The 17,829-nt window shown below is 52.3% G+C and overlaps 1 protein-coding gene and 1 long non-coding RNA gene across 4 annotated transcripts, besides 1 other annotated feature; both read left to right on the top strand.

Annotated features, from left to right (window-relative positions):
• Nucleotides 1–509: 509 nt before the first annotated feature.
• On the top strand, nucleotides 510–2,338 carry GGTLC3 (gamma-glutamyltransferase light chain family member 3). 3 transcript variants are annotated; one of them, XM_047441480.1, is made up of 6 exons: nucleotides 511–613; nucleotides 745–954; nucleotides 1,217–1,314; nucleotides 1,417–1,529; nucleotides 1,611–1,724; nucleotides 2,029–2,338. In XM_047441480.1, the coding sequence occupies exons 2-6, from the start codon at nucleotides 779–781 to the stop codon at nucleotides 2,173–2,175; spliced, it is 648 nt and encodes a 215-aa protein (XP_047297436.1). In that variant the 5' UTR covers nucleotides 511–613; nucleotides 745–778; the 3' UTR covers nucleotides 2,176–2,338. The 3 variants fall into 3 exon arrangements, with proteins under 3 accessions (XP_024308032.1, XP_047297436.1, NP_001342408.1); NM_001355479.1 differs by having other exon boundaries at nucleotides 515–613; nucleotides 1,187–1,314; nucleotides 2,029–2,332; XM_024452264.2 differs by having other exon boundaries at nucleotides 510–613; nucleotides 1,187–1,314; nucleotides 1,417–1,724.
• Nucleotides 5,916–6,756: an enhancer, noted in NCBI's record as "H3K27ac-H3K4me1 hESC enhancer chr22:20361787-20362627 (GRCh37/hg19 assembly coordinates)". NCBI's record gives its function as "activates a minimal SCP1, AML or CMV promoter by ChIP-STARR-seq in naive H9 embryonic stem cells {active_cell/tissue: H9 hESC(naive)}" and the evidence as "EXISTENCE:reporter gene assay evidence [ECO:0000049][PMID:30033119]".
• Nucleotides 6,252–17,452, top strand: FAM247B (family with sequence similarity 247 member B). Its single transcript, NR_186690.1, has 2 exons — nucleotides 6,252–6,790; nucleotides 16,827–17,452. It is a non-coding gene; the product is annotated as a family with sequence similarity 247 member B (long non-coding RNA).
• Nucleotides 17,453–17,829: the final 377 nt, after the last annotated feature.

The following is a 17,829-nucleotide window of genomic DNA, read 5'->3' as shown; positions in this document are numbered from 1 at the left end:
GGTTGATACCCACAGCCTCCCCTTTGGGCTTTATCCTTATCCCCGTCATAGCTGCCAGAGGGACCCTGTGAAAACACTCCCCAGCCTGCTCATTCCTCTGTCCTAAGCCTGCATGGCACAGAGCAAAAGCCAGTTGTTATGGGACCTAGGAGGTCTTGTGGGATGGGCCCCAGCCTGCATCTTCATCCTCTTCTCCCCACCCTACTCCATTCACTCTCTGCCTATCGCTCACCAGCCTATGCCACCTGCCTCAGGGCCTTTGCACTGACCATTTAGGCCACTTTCCAGGCTCTTTTCACACGTTGCCTCCTCTGAGAAGCCCTCCCTGACCACTCTGCCCATACCTCATGCCTCTTGATTCCCCTTACCTGGCCTGTGGTTTCAGCACTTTCCCTGTGTGTGTTTGTTTTTCTTGGCATGAGGGCAGGACCTAAGTGTCTGTTCCCTGTTGATTCCCCAGTGCCAGGCATGCAGTGCAAATTGTAGAAATATTTTTTGCATGAAAGAATGAGTGATTGAATGCGGCAAGGGTCTGGAGGCTGAGGACCAGGCAGACAGACATTCAGAGTTGCTGGAACGCGACAGAGACAGGGAGTCAGACTGGTCATGCAAGGTCTTGGGCCTGCCCTTGGGTCCTGGGGAGCCACGGAAGGTTGTGGGTGCCAGAGGGTTGCGGTCAGAGTCACAGTCAAGGGCCTTCTGAGACCTGTGCCCCCTCCCCACCCTCCCTCCCCACCTCCTCAGGCCAGCTCTGGGGTCTCAGCAGGTGGTCCGCAACATGACCTCTGAGTTCTTCGCTGCCCAGCTCCGGTCCCAGATCTCTGACCACACCACTCACCCGATCTCCTACTACAAGCCCGAGTTCTACACGCCGGATGACGGGGGCACTGCTCACCTGTCTGTCGTCGCAGAGGACGGCAGTGCTGTGTCCGCCACCAGCACCATCAACCTCTAGTAGGGGCTGCTGGGCCGCCTGGGTGGGAAAGGGCCAGGGGCGGGTGGCCCAGGGACTGCCCACTTATCCAGTAAGGTGGCTCCATCACCTCTTTTCCTGGTGGGAAACTGAGGCCCAACCTTGGTAGCTTATCCTGGGCCTCTCAGTGAGTATGTTTGAGCCTCAGTGGGTGGATAGGGACCAGGCTGGGCCAGGCAAGGTCGGGTGCTGTCTGACCTGGCTGGGCGGTAGCTTTGGCTCCAAGGTCTGCTCCCCGGTCAGTGGGATCCTGTTCAATAATGAATGGACGACTTCAGCTCTCCCAGCATTCACCAATGAGTTTGGGGCACCCCCCTCACCTGCCAATTTCATCCAGCCAGGTATGGGGTGGAGGTCTGGGGGGTGGGGGACTGGGGTGGAGAGGGGCGGGTGTCCTGGGCAGGCAGCTGACGGGCATCCCTGTCTTCTCCCATCGGCCGCAGGGAAGCAGCCGCTCTTGTCCATGTGCCCGACGATCATGGTGGGCCAGGACGGCCAGGTCCGGATGGTGGTGGGAGCTGCTGGGGGCACGCAGATCACCACAGACACTGCACTGGTATGTGTCACCCCTTTTCTCCCTGGCCCTGCCCACTCTGCACAGCCCCCAAGCCACGCTGATCACACTCCCATGCCCCAGGCCATCATCTACAACCTCTGGTTCGGCTATGACGTGAAGAGGGCCGTGGAGGAGCCCCGGCTGCACAACAAGCTTCTGCCCAACGTCACGACAGTGGAGAGAAACATTGACCAGGTGGGCCAGGGGTTGGAGAAACTGAGTCACGGTGTGGGGTCCCAGGGCATCCTGGGCTGGAGGCCTGGATCATCACAGAGTGGACAATGGTTGGTGTCCTCTCTCTAGTGCCTGGGCCATCTGGAGCCCCTGTGACATGAGAGCCAAGCCCCCTGCTCCAGTGAGACCCAGCAGGCCCCAACCTGCTCTTCCTGATGACCTGGCCTGAAATGGCACCACCTGGGCTGAGGCCTGTGACCACACAGGTGTGGTTCAGGTGGCATCTGGAGCCCTGCTCAGGCTTCCCCTCTCCTCCCACCCCCAGGCAGTGACTGCAGCCCTGGAGACCCGGCACCATCACACCCAGATCGCATCCACCTTCATCGCTGTGGTGCAAGCCATCGTCCGCACGGCTGGTGGCTGGGCAGCTGCCTCGGACTCCAGGAAAGGCGGGGAACCTGCTGGCTACTGATTGCTCCAGGCAGACAAGGCTGACAAGCAATCCAGGGACAAGATACTCACCAGGATGAGGAAGAGGACTTTGGGGGACGGGCTTCCCCTGTGAGCAGCAGAGCAGCATAATAAATGAGGCCACTGTGCCAGGCTCCAGGTGGCCTCCCTGGCCTGTCTCCCCACTCTCTGGGCCTCAGTGTATTGTGTGTGAAATGGAGCCATCTGGCTGGGGAGGAACAGAGAGGTGGGATTCGGAGATCTTCACAATGCGGGCACTGGAACTAGCCTCAGCATCTTCAGCATGGGGAGAGCAAGGCACATGGCTGGGGGCCAGGGGAAGGTTCACACCAAACCCTGCCCCTTCCCACCCTGATCCCTCAGACTTTGGGGCCAGGCCCTCCCTTACTGGGGCTGGGCAGTGACACTACCTAGGATCAGCCACCAGGGGGTGTCACGACCCTGGCGCTTTCTTAGGCAGAGGGTGGCCAGCCGATGCTGGGAACCCGGGCGCCTTCTCAGACCCGTAGGCGTCCAGCTCACCCTGCCGATGACACTGGAGGTGAAGCTGAGGGTCCGAGGAATGGGGACTGGGCAACAGGCTGGAGGAAAACATCTCGGTCAGAGCCATGCCCCTGGGGGGTTCCCAAGAGCAAGCCCAGAGTGAAACCCAAGCTTGTGATCCTCTCCACAGGGAGGCCTGGTTCTCAGGGAACAGCAAACGGGAAGATGTCCCCAGATCCCAGGGATCAGGGCTTGGACCAGCCGGGGACGCAGCCCAGAGGGAGTGGGTCCGGAAGGAAACAGCTCGACACAGCAGCCTTCACCATTGGCAGCCCCTCCAGGCCTCCCTCGGGGCCTGCTCCCTCCTCTGTGCACAGTTCCAACACCTGGAGCAGGGTTCTGGGAAGGGCTGGTGGAGGTGGGCTGGTGGGAGGCGGTGATCACAGCCCAGCACCTGGATATCACCAGGGGCACTGGGGCCAGGGGCCAGGTGAGGCCAGGTCGGGGCTATCCTTCAGGAGCCCCGAAAACCTGGTGATTCCAAAGGGCCCATAGACAAACAGGGTTTTATGCCTGTGGAGTCAAGTCCCACTGGGTCTGAGCTCTGGAGGGCTGTGTCTCTGGGGCTCTGCAAGGGTGAGATGGAGGTGGGCTCAACTGGTGTACAAGTCACTCTTCAATCCTTATTTTATTTATTTAATTTTTTTAAAAAAAATTTAAACCAATAGAGATGGGGTCTCACTATGTTGACCAGGCTGGTCTTAACTCCTGACTTCAAGCAGTCCCCCCATCTCAGTCTCCCAAAGTGCTAGGATTACAGGGGTAGCCACTGCACCCGGCCTCAATCCTTATATTGGCCTGAGAGGAAAGGCCGTGGCCCCATTTGCAGGGGAGAAGACTGAAGCTGGAGGGGCAGGCCTTGCTCTGGGTTGCACAGCAGGAAGAGAAGTGGGAGCTGGCCACGAGGCTTCCTGGACCCGACATGCTGGTGGGGTACACCCTGGTTCTCTAGGTCCCATGGGGCTCAGCCCAGGACTACCTCGGGGGGTGAGGGACTTAAATCGTCTCCTTCATTCTCATCGCCCCTTCCCCCATCATTTCCTGAGGAAGGACATTCAGGGACCTGAAGGGGTGGCCTGCCCCTCCACACCTGTGGGTGTTTCTCATCAGCTGGGACAAGAGACTGAGAAAAGAAAGAGACACAGAGACAAAGTATAGAGAAAGAAAAGTGGGCCCAGGGGACCTGCACTCAGCATATGGAGGCCCCACGCTGGCACCAGTCTCTGAGTTCCCTAGTATTTATTGATCATTATCTCTACCATCTCAGAGAGGGGGATGTGGCAGGACAATAGGGTAATAGTGGGGAGAGGGTCAGCAGGAAAACACGTGAACAAATGTCTCTGTGTCATAAACAAGGTTAAGAAAAAGGTGCTGTGCTTTGATGTGCATATACATAAACATCTCAATGCATTAAAGAGCAGTATTGCCACCAGCATGTCCCACCTCCAGCCCTAAGGCAGTTTTCTCCTATCTCAGCAGATGGAATATACAATCAACACTGAGACATTCCTTTGCCCAGGGACGATCAGGAGAGAGATGCCTTCCTCTTATCTCAACTGCAAAGAGGCCTTCCTCTTTTACTAATCCTCCTCAGCACAGACCCTTTACAGGTGTCGGGCTGGGGGACGGTCAGGTCTTTCCCTTCCCACGAGGCCATATTTCAGACTGTCACCTGGGGAGAAACCTTGGACAATACCTGGCTTTCCTAGGCAGAGGTCCCTGCGGCCTTCTGCAGTGTTTTGTGTCCCTGCTTACTTGAGATTAGGGAGTGGTGATGACTCTTAACAAGCATGCTGCCTTCAAGCATTTGTTTAACAAAGCACATCCTGCACAGCCCTGAATCCATTAAACCTTGAGTCGACACAGTACATGTTTCTGTGAGCACAGGGTTGGGGCTAGGGTTACAGATTAACGGCATCTCAAGGCAAAAGAATTTTTCTTACTACACAGCAAAATGGAGCCTCTTACGTCTACTTCTTTCTACATAGACACAGTAACAGTCTGATATCTCTTTCTTTTCCCCACAGGGACCTTCCTGGCTGTGCCTCGGGTCAGGACCAGAATGACACCCATTCATTTCCCTGGGCCTTTGCTCCGGTGGTCCCTGCACCCTGGCCTCTGCCTGACGAGGATGGTGGGGAGAGGAGGGGGACGTCCCCCACACTGCTGTCTCCACTGTTCCTGCTGCCCAGGCCTCTGGGCTTCCAGGACTGCAGCGGGTGGGTGGGTGGGCTGGCCGGAGCCCAGGAATGCACTTCAGCTCCTGGTTGAGCAATGTCACTGAGGCTTGGGAGTCGGGTGGGGGCGGGAGGAGGCGTCCACAGGCCCCCCTACCGTGAGAGGCAGCCGTGGGAACAGCCTACCTCTAAACAATCACTGCAGCCCAGGCTGACCAGGGGCTCTGGCCGGACATAGGGGCCTGGCAGGCTGTGTGCCCTGTAAGGACACAGTCTGTCTCTGTGCCTCAGTTTCTCTGCTGCCCAGATGGAGGGGCCCAGACTCCAGGTGTACACATCTGGAGCAGGCAGTGTTCAGTTGGGGAGGAAGCGGGGAGGACTGTGGGGGCCATGTGGGAAGGATTCCACCCCACATCACCTGCACCCCTGCTGAGCCTGGTCAACGGAGCCCCTCAGTGGGTCCTCACTCCCCTGGTTGCCTCCCATTTAGGCACCCTGAGGCCTGGGGAGAACAGAGCCAGGCCAGTGTCCCCAGAGAGGCTGCGCTGCCAGCACAGTAGTAGCGGATTTGGATTCAGGGAAGCAGACCTGCAGCCAGGGTGGGAAAGAGCTGCAGGTGGGGTGGGGCCCCCACATGGCACAGCCCCCCTCCCTGGAGGACCATGCTGCATTTCCAGGACAGCAAGTCCCAGGGATGGATGGTGCCTGGTGCCAAGGGCTAGAGGCATGGTCTGTCTGCATTTCCCACGTAAGTGTCTCGTAGTCACCAGAATTTGATGCTGTCAAGACCCCCTGTCCTCTGTGCAGACTGGAAAGCCCTTGGTCACCCTGGGGGAGTTGGGGGACCCAGGCCAGGCTGCAGAAGCATAAGGACTTGAACCCGGGTCCTGAGTGACACCACCTTGGGTCCTCCTCCTTCTGCCTCTGTTCAGCTCCACCTTGATGCTGACTAGGCTGGGCCATGCGGAGAGGGTTAGGGGATAGAGATGGGAGCTGGGGAGCAGGGCTCCACTCTGGGAGGGGGGCAGCCTTGCCGGATCCAGGGCAGAGTTAAGCGGCCCCAGCTCTGCTTTCCCAGAGCTGCTGAGAACCTGGGGAATGGTGTGGAGGTTCCAGGGAGCCCTGCCCCTACCTGGCAACCGCAGTGCAGCACGCACCAAGTTCTCCTGCACATTGCGACAGTGTGACCATGGGCTCTGGCGGGCGGTAGGTGGGGCCTTTGGACCTACCAGCAGTGAGGGAGTTAACACAGCAGCTGACTTCTCTAGGCAAAGAAAACTCCCCTCAGACGCTTTGCTGCCTGGCCTCCTGCCAGGAACAAGCAGGAGCTGAAAACTAGAAGTTGAGGCATGAGTTTGGCCACTCCGTAGTGTGCACTTGGTGAGGGCAGCAGCTCGCCACAGCTGCCAGCCATCTGTCCATTCACCCATCTGTCCATCTGGCAGCCCGCTGTTCAGACCTGTCTGTCTGTCCGCCCATCTGTAAGCCCATCTCTGTCCCATTGTCTATCTGACCATCTTTCTCTTACTGTCCTCTTTGTCTAGCTATCTGGCCTGTCTGTCGATCCATCTTCGTGTCTGTCTTCAGCCCCCACCTGTTTGTCCATCTGTCCAATTACCTGTGAGTCTATCTATGCATCTTCTTGTCCATTCATCTGCCCACCCATCTGTCCCTCCATCTGCCCACCGGCCTCCCCTCTCCTTCTGGGCCGCAGAGCCATGGCCCAGGACTACGGAGCCATGGGTGACCTGGTCCTGCTGGGGCTGGGGCTGGGGCTGGCGCTGGCTGTCATTGTGCTGGCTGTGGTCCTCTCTCGACACCAGGCCCCATTTGACCCCCGGCCTTTGCCCACGCCGCTGTTGCTGCTGACTCCAAGGTCTTCTCAAATATTGTACGGTGAGTGAGACGTGGGAGGAAGCTGGGTGGCCTTTGGCAGCCAGCCCCTCCTGGAGAAGGCGTGTGTGTGTGAGCATGTGTGTGTGTGAGAGATTATGTGTCAGTGTGTGTGGGTATATGTGTGAGTGTGTTTGTGGGGTGTGGGTGTGTGTGAATGTGTGTGATCGTGTTTGGGTGTGTGTATGTGTGAGTGTGGGTGTGTGTGAATGTGTGTGATTGTGTTTGTGTATGTGTGTGTGGGTGTGTGTGAGTATATGTGAGTGTGAGTGTGTGGGGTGTGGGTGGGTGTGAATGTGTGTGATTGTGTTTCGCTGTGTGAGGGTGTGTGTGACTGTGAGTGTGTGAGTGTGGGTGTGTGGGTGTGTGTAAATGTGTGTGTGAGTATGGGGGGTGGGTATGTGTGAATGTGTGTGATTGTGTGTGGGTATATTTGTGGGTGTGTGTGTGTGTGTGCACGTGTGTGTGTGTGCACGTGCACTGGCCCAGGAAGCAGGAGCCGTGTGTGTGGGCTTCAGCACCTGCAGGTCTTGGGCGCAAGGAGACAGCCTCAGGGCCCTTGCACAGAACAGGCGGCAGGGTGTGCCCGTGGGGCAGATGGGGACTTGGGGACAATGGTGGTGTGTGAGTCCATACCTGGCTCCAGGATTCAGGAGGCCCATTTGCATATCCCAGGTGGGAACCTGTCTGGCCCCGCCTGACCCTGCTGGCCGGTGCAGGCCCCTTCAGTGAGGCCAATTCTCCAAGGCTGCGGTCTTCTCCCAGGGTCATGGGTGAAGGGGTTTGGAGGCTCCCTGCGTGGGTACTGGCCTGCTGGGGTACACACAATGCTGCCATAGCCAGTCTGCCCCTACACCCAGCCCGGGGCCACATCCCAGGTCTCTCAGTCCTGAGGAGCCCGGTGCCCCACCCCTCACATCCTCTCTCCCTGAGTCAGGGCCTGGGTCTCGTGAGCTGAGTGACTGATACTTGGTGTCCTGGATGAGGGCGTGGTGGAGAGGGGCCACAGCGGGTGTTTCCTGACCCTCTTCCAGGAAGGTGCTGCTGCCACTGCAGGGAGGACACACACAGGATGCCCCTTCTTGCCCCCTGCCTCCCATTGGGCCCACAAAAGCCAGGGCAAGCCTCCCCTCCCTGCCAGCCACCTGGTCTGCTTCCCAGAAATTCTGTCTTGCAGGCTGTTGGGAGGATCCCAGTACTTTGTAAACTAAAGCAAGGGAGGAGTGGCCGTTCTCTCTCTTTGTTCATTCATTCACCTTTTCATTCATTCCTTCTTCCCTCCATTCCCCCATCGGTCCATCCTTCCCTGCCCTGATTGCTCATGCCACCCCCCCAGCCCCTCCTGACCTGGTCCTTTGGTTTCTCTTCAGGGCTTTCTGTCTCCTCCCACAGGGCTGAGAATGGCAGCTCAGGGACAAGTGGGGGCTGGGGACTGCTTAGTCTCCCCAGTGGCTCTCAGGGGATTTGAGGGTTTGACGCCAGCTGCCACCCCAGGCTGTGCCCCTCCTCTGCTCGGGAGGACATACAGAGATGCGACACCCACTTAAACTCGAAGTTGCAAAGATGCAAATGAGACTGGGGTCTCAGGCACCAGAGACCACCCGTGGGCACGTGGCTTTTGGGAGTGGGGACCTGCTGCCACAGATCTCTGAAGAGTCTGGACCTGCTGGGTCTCCCCGAGTGACTGTCTGGGGGTCTCCATAGCATGCCCTGCTGTGTGCGTGACGGTCACTGGTTGGGTAGGGGTCTCTACTCTAAAGCTCCCTCTGCCGGCATCCCCTCGAACTCTCCCTTGGTGAAGAGAGGATGTGGTTTGCCCCAGTGTTTTATCAAACAACTCTCTCCACTTCCAGTTTTAAGAAGCTGGGAGTGGAAGAGAGCCTGGGGCTGGCCCCAGCTGCTGCTGTGAAACAGGGGTCACTGGACGCTGGGACCCTGGCCGGGCTGGCTGGAGGCCTCAGGAAGAGGCCTGCTACAGCGTCATCCTGGCCAAGATTCCTCCCTGCAGAGGACCCTGGCCACGCTGCCACAGGGTCTGCTGGGGCCACCAGAAGCCCATGCTCCTGCCTCCATCTCTCCCCTCTGTGCTCACCTCTCACCAGGAGGCCCTCCCAGAGTTCAGTGTCCTGCTTTTTTTTTTTTTTTTTTTTTTTGGGACGGTGTCTCACTCTGTCACCAGGCTGGAGTGCAGTGGCGCGATCTCAGCTTACTGCAACCTCTGCTTCCTCGGTTCAAATGATTCTCCTGCCTCAGCCTCCTGAGTAGCTGGGACTACAGGTGCCAGCCACCACGCCCCGCTAATTTCTGTATTTTTAGTAGAGACGGGGTTTCACCGTGTTGGCCAGGATGGTCTCTATCTCTTGATTCACCCGCCTTGGCCACCCAAAGTGCTGGCATTACAGGAGTGAGTCATGGCACCCGGCCTCATCTCCTACTCTTTCAGCACCAGGTTTTATTCTTGGGATTCTGCTACAGCCGGAGCCCCTGGGTGCGAGTTCCTAAGGTTTCTGTGAGTGTGGACCCAGCACCGTGCCTAGTAGACATACAAAAGGAGCATGGTGACAGTGAGGTCTGTCATCTCCAGCATAATGACTGTTTTGATCCTTGTAAAAAAGGTGATTTTTGGCTGGGTGTGGTGGCTCACACCTGTAATCCCAGCACTTTGGGAGGCCAAGGGGGGTGGCTCACTTGAGGTCAGGAGTTGGAGACCAGCCTGGGCAACATGGTGAAACCATGTCTCTACTAAAAATACAAAAATTAGCTGGGCATGGTAGCAGGTGCCTGTAATCCCAGATACTTGGGAGGCTGAGACAGGAGAATCACTTGAACGCAGGAGGCAAAGGTTGCAGTAAGCCAAGATTGCACCACTGCACTCCAGCCTGGGTGACAGAGCAAGACTTGGTCTCAAAAAAAAAAAAAAAAAAAGAAAGAAAAGTTTATATTTTTGTTCTAATGGTTATCTTAATATCGTCATTCTATAATTATATGTTTTATATAATTATAATAGCTATATAAGATATAATACCCCTAGTATGTTGTTTTTTGGATATTCTACTTGCTCCTGATGGTTAATTTATGTGTCAACTTGGCTAAGCTATGGTGTCCTGTTGTTTGGTCAAATACTTGTCAATATCTTGCTGGGAGGTTATTTCATAGATGTGATTAACACTGACAGTCAATTGACTTTAAGTAAAACAGATTACCCACCATAATATGGGTGGGCCACCTCCAATCAGTTGAAGGCCTTAAGAACAAAAACTGAGGTTTCCCAGAGAAGCAGGAATTCTGCTTCAAGACTGTAACACACAAACCCTGCCTGAGTTTCTGGCCTGCTGACTGCTCTACAGATTTTAGGTTCCAGACTTCGAGATCAACTCTTACCTGAATTTATAGCCTGCTGGCTTGCCCTACAGATTTTAAAACTTGCTAGTCCCCACAATCATGTGAGCCAATTCCTAAATAAGTCTCTCTCTATGTATAATCTATTGGTTTAGTTTCTCTGAAAAACTTTCACATCCAGTTTCCTGGATGTTAAGAATTACCGAAACTAGCTAGTAACTTCTTTTTTTTTTTTGAGACAGAGTTTTGCTCTTGTTGCCCAGGCTGGAATGCAATGGCACAATCTCAGCTCACCGCAACCTCCACTTCCTGGGTCCAAGCAATTCTCCTCCCTCAGCCTCCTGAGTAGCTGGGATTACAGGCATGTGCCACCATGCTTGGCTAATTTTTGTATTTTTAGTAGAGACAGGGCTTCTCCATGTTGGTCAGGCTGGTCTTGAACTCCCAACCTCAGGTGATCCGCCGCCTTGGCCTCACAAAGTGCTGGAATTACAGGCACGAGCCATTGCGCCTGGCTCCTAGTAAATTCTTCTTTTCTGTGATGTGTCCCTTACCTCTAATAATACTTTTCTTCTTAAAGTCTACTTCATTAAAAATAGTTATGCTGGGCATGGTGGCTCATGGCTGTAATCTTGGCACTTTGCTGGAGGTCGAGGTGGGTGGATCACTGAAGCCCAGGAGTTCAAGACCAACCTGGGCAACATGGCGAGACCCTGCCTCTACAAAAAATACAAAAATTAGCTGGGTGTGGCTAATATAATTCTAAGTTGGCACACTTGTAGTCCCAGCTACTTGGGATGCTGAGGTGGGAGAATCGCTTGAGCCTAGAAGGGAGAGATTGCTGTAAGCCAAGATCACATCACTGCACTCCAGCCTGGGAGACAGAGTGAGGCTCTATCTCCAAAAAAAAAAAAAAAAAAAAAAAAAAAGTTATACAGCTTTCTTGGTTAGTACATGCATGACATATTTTTCATGATCTTCCACCTCTCTGTACCCTTATATAAAAGGCATTAGTTGGGTTTTACTTTATTTTCAATTATTTTAATTTTTATTGTCCTTTTAAATGTAACTAATGATTTATTTGGGTTGAAACCCACCACCAATTTGTTTTCCATGCCTATTCTATTTCTTCTTATCTCCTCTCACATCTTGTTTTGGATTTATTAGTTTTATTATTTAATTTCCTCCTTCTCTATTAGTTTCATAACTGTGCAGTCTTAGAGTTATTTTAAAAGATGACTGGATTATTTTAGAGCTTACAACATGCATCCTTCCCTTATCAAAGTCTAACATGAGCTAGTACTTTTTGTTGTGGTTGAGATAGAGAGAGTCTTCCTCTGCTGCCCAGGCTGGAGTGCAGTGGAGCAATCTTGGTTCACTGCAACCTCCACTTCTTGGGTTCAAGCAATTCTCCTGCCTCAGTCACCTGAGTAGCTGGGACCACAGGTGTGCACCACTATGCCCGGCCAATTTTTGTATTCTTTTTCAGTAGAGACAGGGTTTCACCATGTTGGCCAGGCTGGTCTTGAACTCCGGACCTTAAGAGATCTGCCTACCTCGGCATCCTAAAGTGTTGGGATTACAGGCGTGAGCCACCGCGCCCAGCCTATGAGTTAGTACTTCTATCCTCTTCCTAGTCAGTACAAGAACCTTGGAACAGGAACTAAATTTACCCCCAGTGACTTATATGCTAATATTTTTGTGTATTTTAAATATGTGTGTGTGCATAGATGTATCTGTGTGTTTTTTGTGTTTTTATTCTTATTTATGTTGAGAGTGTAGAGCTATGTAAGAGTAAAGAGAATTGTGTAATGAAGCCCAGAGTATCCATTCAATTTCAACAACAATCTTATGGCCAAGCTCATTTCATGTATACTCTTTCCTGCTTCCCTCTACCCCACATTATTTCAGTGCAAATCCCAGATATATAACTGTACCCATACATATTTCAGTATGTTTTATTTATTTTAAACCCCACAAGATATCATTTTCTATACTACTGTAATTTTATACCAATAACATTCATTTAGATTTACCCACACGTTTACCCTACCCTCCGGGTCCTGTTTGAAAATCAAGCCCATGCTCACAGGCCAATTTTTTTTTCTTTTAGAGACAGGGTCTCACTTTGTCACCCAAGCTGGAGTGCAGTGGTGCGATTATAGCTCAATGCAGCCTCCAATTCCTGGACTCAAGGGACCCTCCTGCCTCAGCCTGCCAAGTAGCTTGGACTATAGCTGTGTGTTTTATTATTATTTTGTAGACATGGGGTCTGGCTATGTTGTCCAGGCTATTCTCAAAATTCCCGGCCTCGAGCAATCCTCCTGCCTCGGCCTCTCAAAGGTTGGGATTACAGGTGTGAGGCAAGGCACCCAGCTCAGCCACAGAGCCCTGTTGCATCTCTCTTACTAGGAGCAAGAGCTGACTGCCCCCTCATCCCCATTCCAGAGTGTTGGGGCTGTGTTCAGCCGAGGCCGGGCCACTGGCATGGCCCAGGGAGCGGGATCATTCACTGCTGCCCCAAATCTGAGATCATTCCACCTTGACAAGACTTCCTCATCCAATCTCTTTACTTGACAGCTGGGGAAACCAATGCGCACAGAGCACCCCCAGCTCACTCGGGGTCTCAGAGCTGATCCATGAGCAGAGGCTGAGATCCTGGGATCTTGTCCCCCAGCCTCCCTGCAAGCTTACTCCCTTTCTGCTGGAAGAGATGGGGCCGGACCTCGACCAGCAGCCCTGGCCTGGACATGACTGTGCTCACCCAGGTATTGAGGCCGAGATGCCCTGGCATCATATGTTTTTCTCTCTTTTTTTCTTTTTTTTTGAGACAGTATCTCACTCTGTCACCCAAGCTGGAGTGCAGTGGCATGATATTGGCTCACTGCAACCTCTGCCTCCCGCTTAAAGTGATTCTCCTGCCTCAGTCTTCCAAGTAGCTGGGCCTACAGGCTTGTACCACCACACCTGACTAATTTTTGTATTTTTACTAGAGACGGGGTTTCCCCATGTTGGCCAGGCTCATGTCGAACTCCTGACCTCAGGTGATCCACCTGCCTTGGCCTCCCAAAGTGCTAGGATTACAGGCATGAGCCATGGCGTCACTTAAATGTAGTGAGAGGCCGGGCAAGGGGCTCATGCCTGTAATCCCAGTGCTTTGAGAGGACGAGGCTGTCAGATCACCTAAGGTCAGGAGTTCGAGACCAGCCTGGCCAACATGGTGAAACTGTGTCTCTACAAAAAAAATAGAAAAAAAAATCCCTGCGTGGTGGCAAGTATCTGTAGTCCCAGTTACTCAGGAGGCTGAGGCATGAGAATTGCTTAAACCTCGGAGGCGGAGGCTGCAGTGAGCTGAGATGGCGCCACTGCACTCCAGCCTGGGTGACAGAGCAAGACTTTGTCTCTAAATAATTAAATAAATAAATATGGCCGAGCATGGTGCCTTAGGCCTGTAATCCCAACACTTTGGGAGGCTGAGGCAGGTGGTTCATGAGGTCAGGAGCCCGAGACCAGCCTGGCCAAGATGGTGAAACACTGTCTCTACTAAAAATACAAAAATTAGCCAGCTGTGGTGGCAGGCACCTGTAATCCCAGCTACTTGGGACACTGAGGCAGGAGAATCGCTTGAACCTGGAAGGCAGAGGTTGCAATGAGCCGAGATTGCACCGCTGCACTCTAGCCTGGGCGATGGAGCAAGACTCCATCTCAAATAAATAAATTAATAAATACAGAGCAAGATTCCATCTCAAATAAATAAATAAATGTACACCTGTAATCCTAGCACTTTGGGAGGCTAAGACAGGTCGATCACCTGACGTCAGGAGTTCGAGACCAGCTTGACCAATATGGCAAAACTCCATCTCTACTAAAAATACAAAAATTAGCCGGGCGTTTTGACGTGTGCCTGTAGTCCCAGCTACTTGGGAGGCTGAGACAAGAGAATTGCTTGAACCCAAGAGGTGGAGGTTGCAGTGAGCCGAGATCTCGGCTGCACTTCAGCCTGGGTGACAGAGTGAGACTCTGTCTCAAAAGGAATAAATAAAATACAAAGTAAAAAAAAATGTAGTAAGATTGCAGAGTCGTGCCGCAGAAGCGTGCTGGTCCTATCCATGTAGTGAAGGCTGATTTCATACACAAATGTCACAAGAACTTTTCTTTTCTTTTTCTTTTTTTTTTTTTTTTTTGAGACGGAGTCTCGCTCTGTCACCCAGGCTGGAGGGCAGTGGTGCTATCTAGGCTCACTGCAAGCTCTGCCTCCCGGGTTTATGCCATTCTCCTGCCTCAGCCTCCTGAGTAGCTGGGACTACAGGCGCCTGCCACCTAGCCCAGCTAATTTTTTTGTACTTTTAGAGGAGATGGGGTTTCACCGCGTTAGCCAGGATAGTCTCAATCTCCTGACCTCGTGATCCGCCCGTCTCGGCCTCCCAAAGTGCTGGGATTACAGGCATGAGCCACCACACCCGGCCTTCTTATATGCTTTTATTGCATTTGAGTGTACCTCTTTTACAGCGAAGATCTTTTTTTTTTAATTTTATTTTATTTTTAGAGATGGAGTCTTGCTTTGTTGCCCAGGCTGGAGCACTGTGGTGTGATCATAGCTCACTGCAGCCTTGAACTCCCGGGCACAGGTGATCCTCCCACCTCAGCTTCCTGAATAGCTGGGACTACAGGCATGCACCACCATGCCTGGCATATTTTAAAGATGTTTGTAGAGATGAGGTCTCGCTATGTTGCCAGGCTTGTCTCAAACTACTGGGCTCAAGCCATCCATCCATTTCAGCCTCCCAAAGTGCTTGGATTATAGGCATGAGCACTGCGCCTGGCCATCACACTGTTTTTTTGTTTGTTTGTTTGTTTGTTTTGAGATGGAGTCTTGCTCTGTCGCCCAGGCTGGAGTGCAGTAGTGGGATCTCACCTCGTTGCAAGCTCCGCCTTGTGGGTACATGCCATTCTCCTGCCTCAGCCTCCTGAGTAGCTGGGATTACAGGCGCCCGCCACCACGCCTGGCTAATTTTTTGTATTTTTAGTAGAGACGGGATTTCACCGTGTTAGCCAGGATGGTCTCGATCTCCTGACCTCGTGATCTGCCCGCCTCGGCCTCTCAAAGTGCTGGGATTACAGGCATGAGCCAATAAATATTTTTATAATCATTAACTACCGAGGAGAAGCTGGAGAGAAAAAAGGTGGATGAAGTTAAGGCAGAGAGACTTTGTAAGTTTCTTGGCTGAGCTTTTGGAGACTGTATATCAGAGATCTTATTTGAGGTGATTTTCAGCTACAGAGATAGGCCTGGTCATTTGAAAAATAACGGATTAGGTGAAGCTTGCGTTTGAAATCCTCCTTCTACTTTTCATCTTTCTCTCTTGTTTATTCTGAGCATCCATCTTAGACACCCAGTCTTTGTCACTTTGTGGTTGTCATTGATTTCCCTGTTATTGAGATTAGAGGTTGGCAGACTTTCTCTGTAAAGGGCTGGAGAGAAAGTACTTCAGACTTTGTGGTCTGTGCGGTGTCTGTTGCAACCACTTAACTCTGCCCTGTAGAGCAAAAGCAGCCGTAGACAGTACATGGGCAGATGAGCATGGCTGGGGTCCAGTTACATTTACTTGCAAAAAGAGGGTTGGAGACTGGGTGCGATCTCCCACCTTTAATCCCGGCAATTTGGGAGGCCGAGGCAGGAGGATCACTTCAAGCCAGGACTTCAAGACCAGCCTGGGCAACAAAGCAAGACTCCATCTCTACAAAAAAATAAAAATTATTATAGCTAGGCATGGTGGTACACACCTGTAGTCCTAGCTACTCAGGAAGCTAAAACTGAGGCAGGAGGGTCAGTTGAGCCCAGGAGCACGAGGCTGTGGTGAGCTATTATTGTGCCAGTGCACTCCAGCCTGGTGACAGAGCAAGAACCGTCTCGTCAAAAAATAAACAAAAGGCTGGGCACGGTGGCTCACGCCTGTAATCCCTGCACTTTGGGAGACTGAGGTGGGCAGATCATGAGGTCAGGAGATTGAGACCATCCTGGCTAACACGGTGAAACCCTGTCTCTACTAAAAATACAAAAAGTTAGCCGGGCGTGGTGGCGGGCGCCTGTAGTCCCAGCCACTCGGGAGGCTGAGGAGGGAGAATCGTTTGAACCTGGGAGGCGGAGGTTGCAGTGAGCCAAGATTGTGCCACTGCACTCTAGCCTGGGCTACAGGGCAAGACTCCATTAAAAAAAAAAAAAAAAACCAGCAAAAACCAAACAAAACATAATGCATGTTCTCTCTTATAAATGGGAGCTAAACATGGGGACTCATTGACTTAAAGATGGCAACAACTGGGAACTGCTGGATGGGGAGGGAGGGGAGGGGTGAAAGGCCAACTGTTGGGGAGTATGCTCATATCCACGTGACAAACCTGCACATGTGCCCGCTGAATCTAAAATAAAAGTTGAAAGTAGATTTAAAAAACCCCAAGAGGGCTGGGTTTGGCTTGTGTGTCCATAGCTTGTTAACCTCCGCTTTAGATATTAAGGAATAGAAACATAGTGCTTATCTTCCCAGGCCACCTATTTTGTTCCTCTCCAAGGTGATGGATAGATGAAGGCCTAATCCAGCCGCCTGGAAGTTTGCTGACGCTTGTCCTGTCACGGATTAATGAAGCATTGTTTTCTGATGAAGCTTTCATGCCGCTGTGCTGATGTGTCTTCTCTTCTCTCTAGGCAGGAAACTGCATATCTTCTGGTTTACATGAAGATGGAGTGCTAATGGAAATGCCCAAAACCTTCAGAGATTGACACGCTGTCATTTTCCATTTCCGTTCCTGGATCTACGGAGTCTTCTAAGAGATTTTGCGATGAGGAGAAGCATTGTTTTCAAACTATATAACTGAGCCTTATTTATAATTAGGGATATTATCAAAATATGTAACCATGAGGCCCCTCAGGTCCTGATCAGTCAGAATGGATGCTTTCACCAGCAGACCCGGCCATGTGGCTGCTCGGTCCTGGGTGCTCGCTGCTGTGCGAGACATTAGCCCTTTAGTTATGAGCCTGTGGGAACTTCAGGGGTTCCCAGTGGGGAGAGCAGTGGCAGTGGGAGGCATCTGGGGGCCAAAGGTCAGTGGCAGGGGGTATTTCAGTATTATACAACTGCTGTGACCAGACTTGTATACTGGCTGAATATCAGTGCTGTTTGTAATTTTTCACTTTGAGAACCAACATTAATTCCATATGAATCAAGTGTTTTGTAACTGCTATTCATTTATTCAACAAATATTTATTGATCATCTCTTCTCCATAAGATAGTGTGATAAACACAGTCATGAATAAAGTTATTTTCCACAAAAGGACTTTGCAGTTTTAACGGGGGGCAGTAGGGCTTGTGCTATAGAAATTCAAAGGCAAGGGAAGTCACTTCTGTTGTGGGGCCCTGGGAGGAGCCTCCAGGCTGGAAAGGGTTAAGGTGGAGGTCTCCGATAGGGGCAGCATACACAGTGGACTGGCTGCAAAAGGCCGTGCTCAGCATTCAGACAGCATCACACACTCTGCTTTTCTCTACCAGGGAGGCAGGTGGGGAAGGATAGCGATGGGAAGGCAGGCGGAGCTCAGAATGTGGAAGGGGATCCAGTAAGGCTTGGAAGTTTGCACCTGATCTGGTGGGTGGTGAGGAGCCCTTGAAGGGGCAAGGAGGCGAGGAGCACTCAGCTGTGTTCTTACACTGATC

Source organism: Homo sapiens, chromosome 22 (assembly GCF_000001405.40).
Source record: "Homo sapiens chromosome 22, GRCh38.p14 Primary Assembly".
In the NCBI taxonomy this organism is placed as follows: Eukaryota; Metazoa; Chordata; class Mammalia; order Primates; family Hominidae; genus Homo; species Homo sapiens.
The sequence above is the reverse complement of the archived record's forward strand: the minus strand, read 5'-3'. Positions and strand labels throughout refer to the sequence as shown.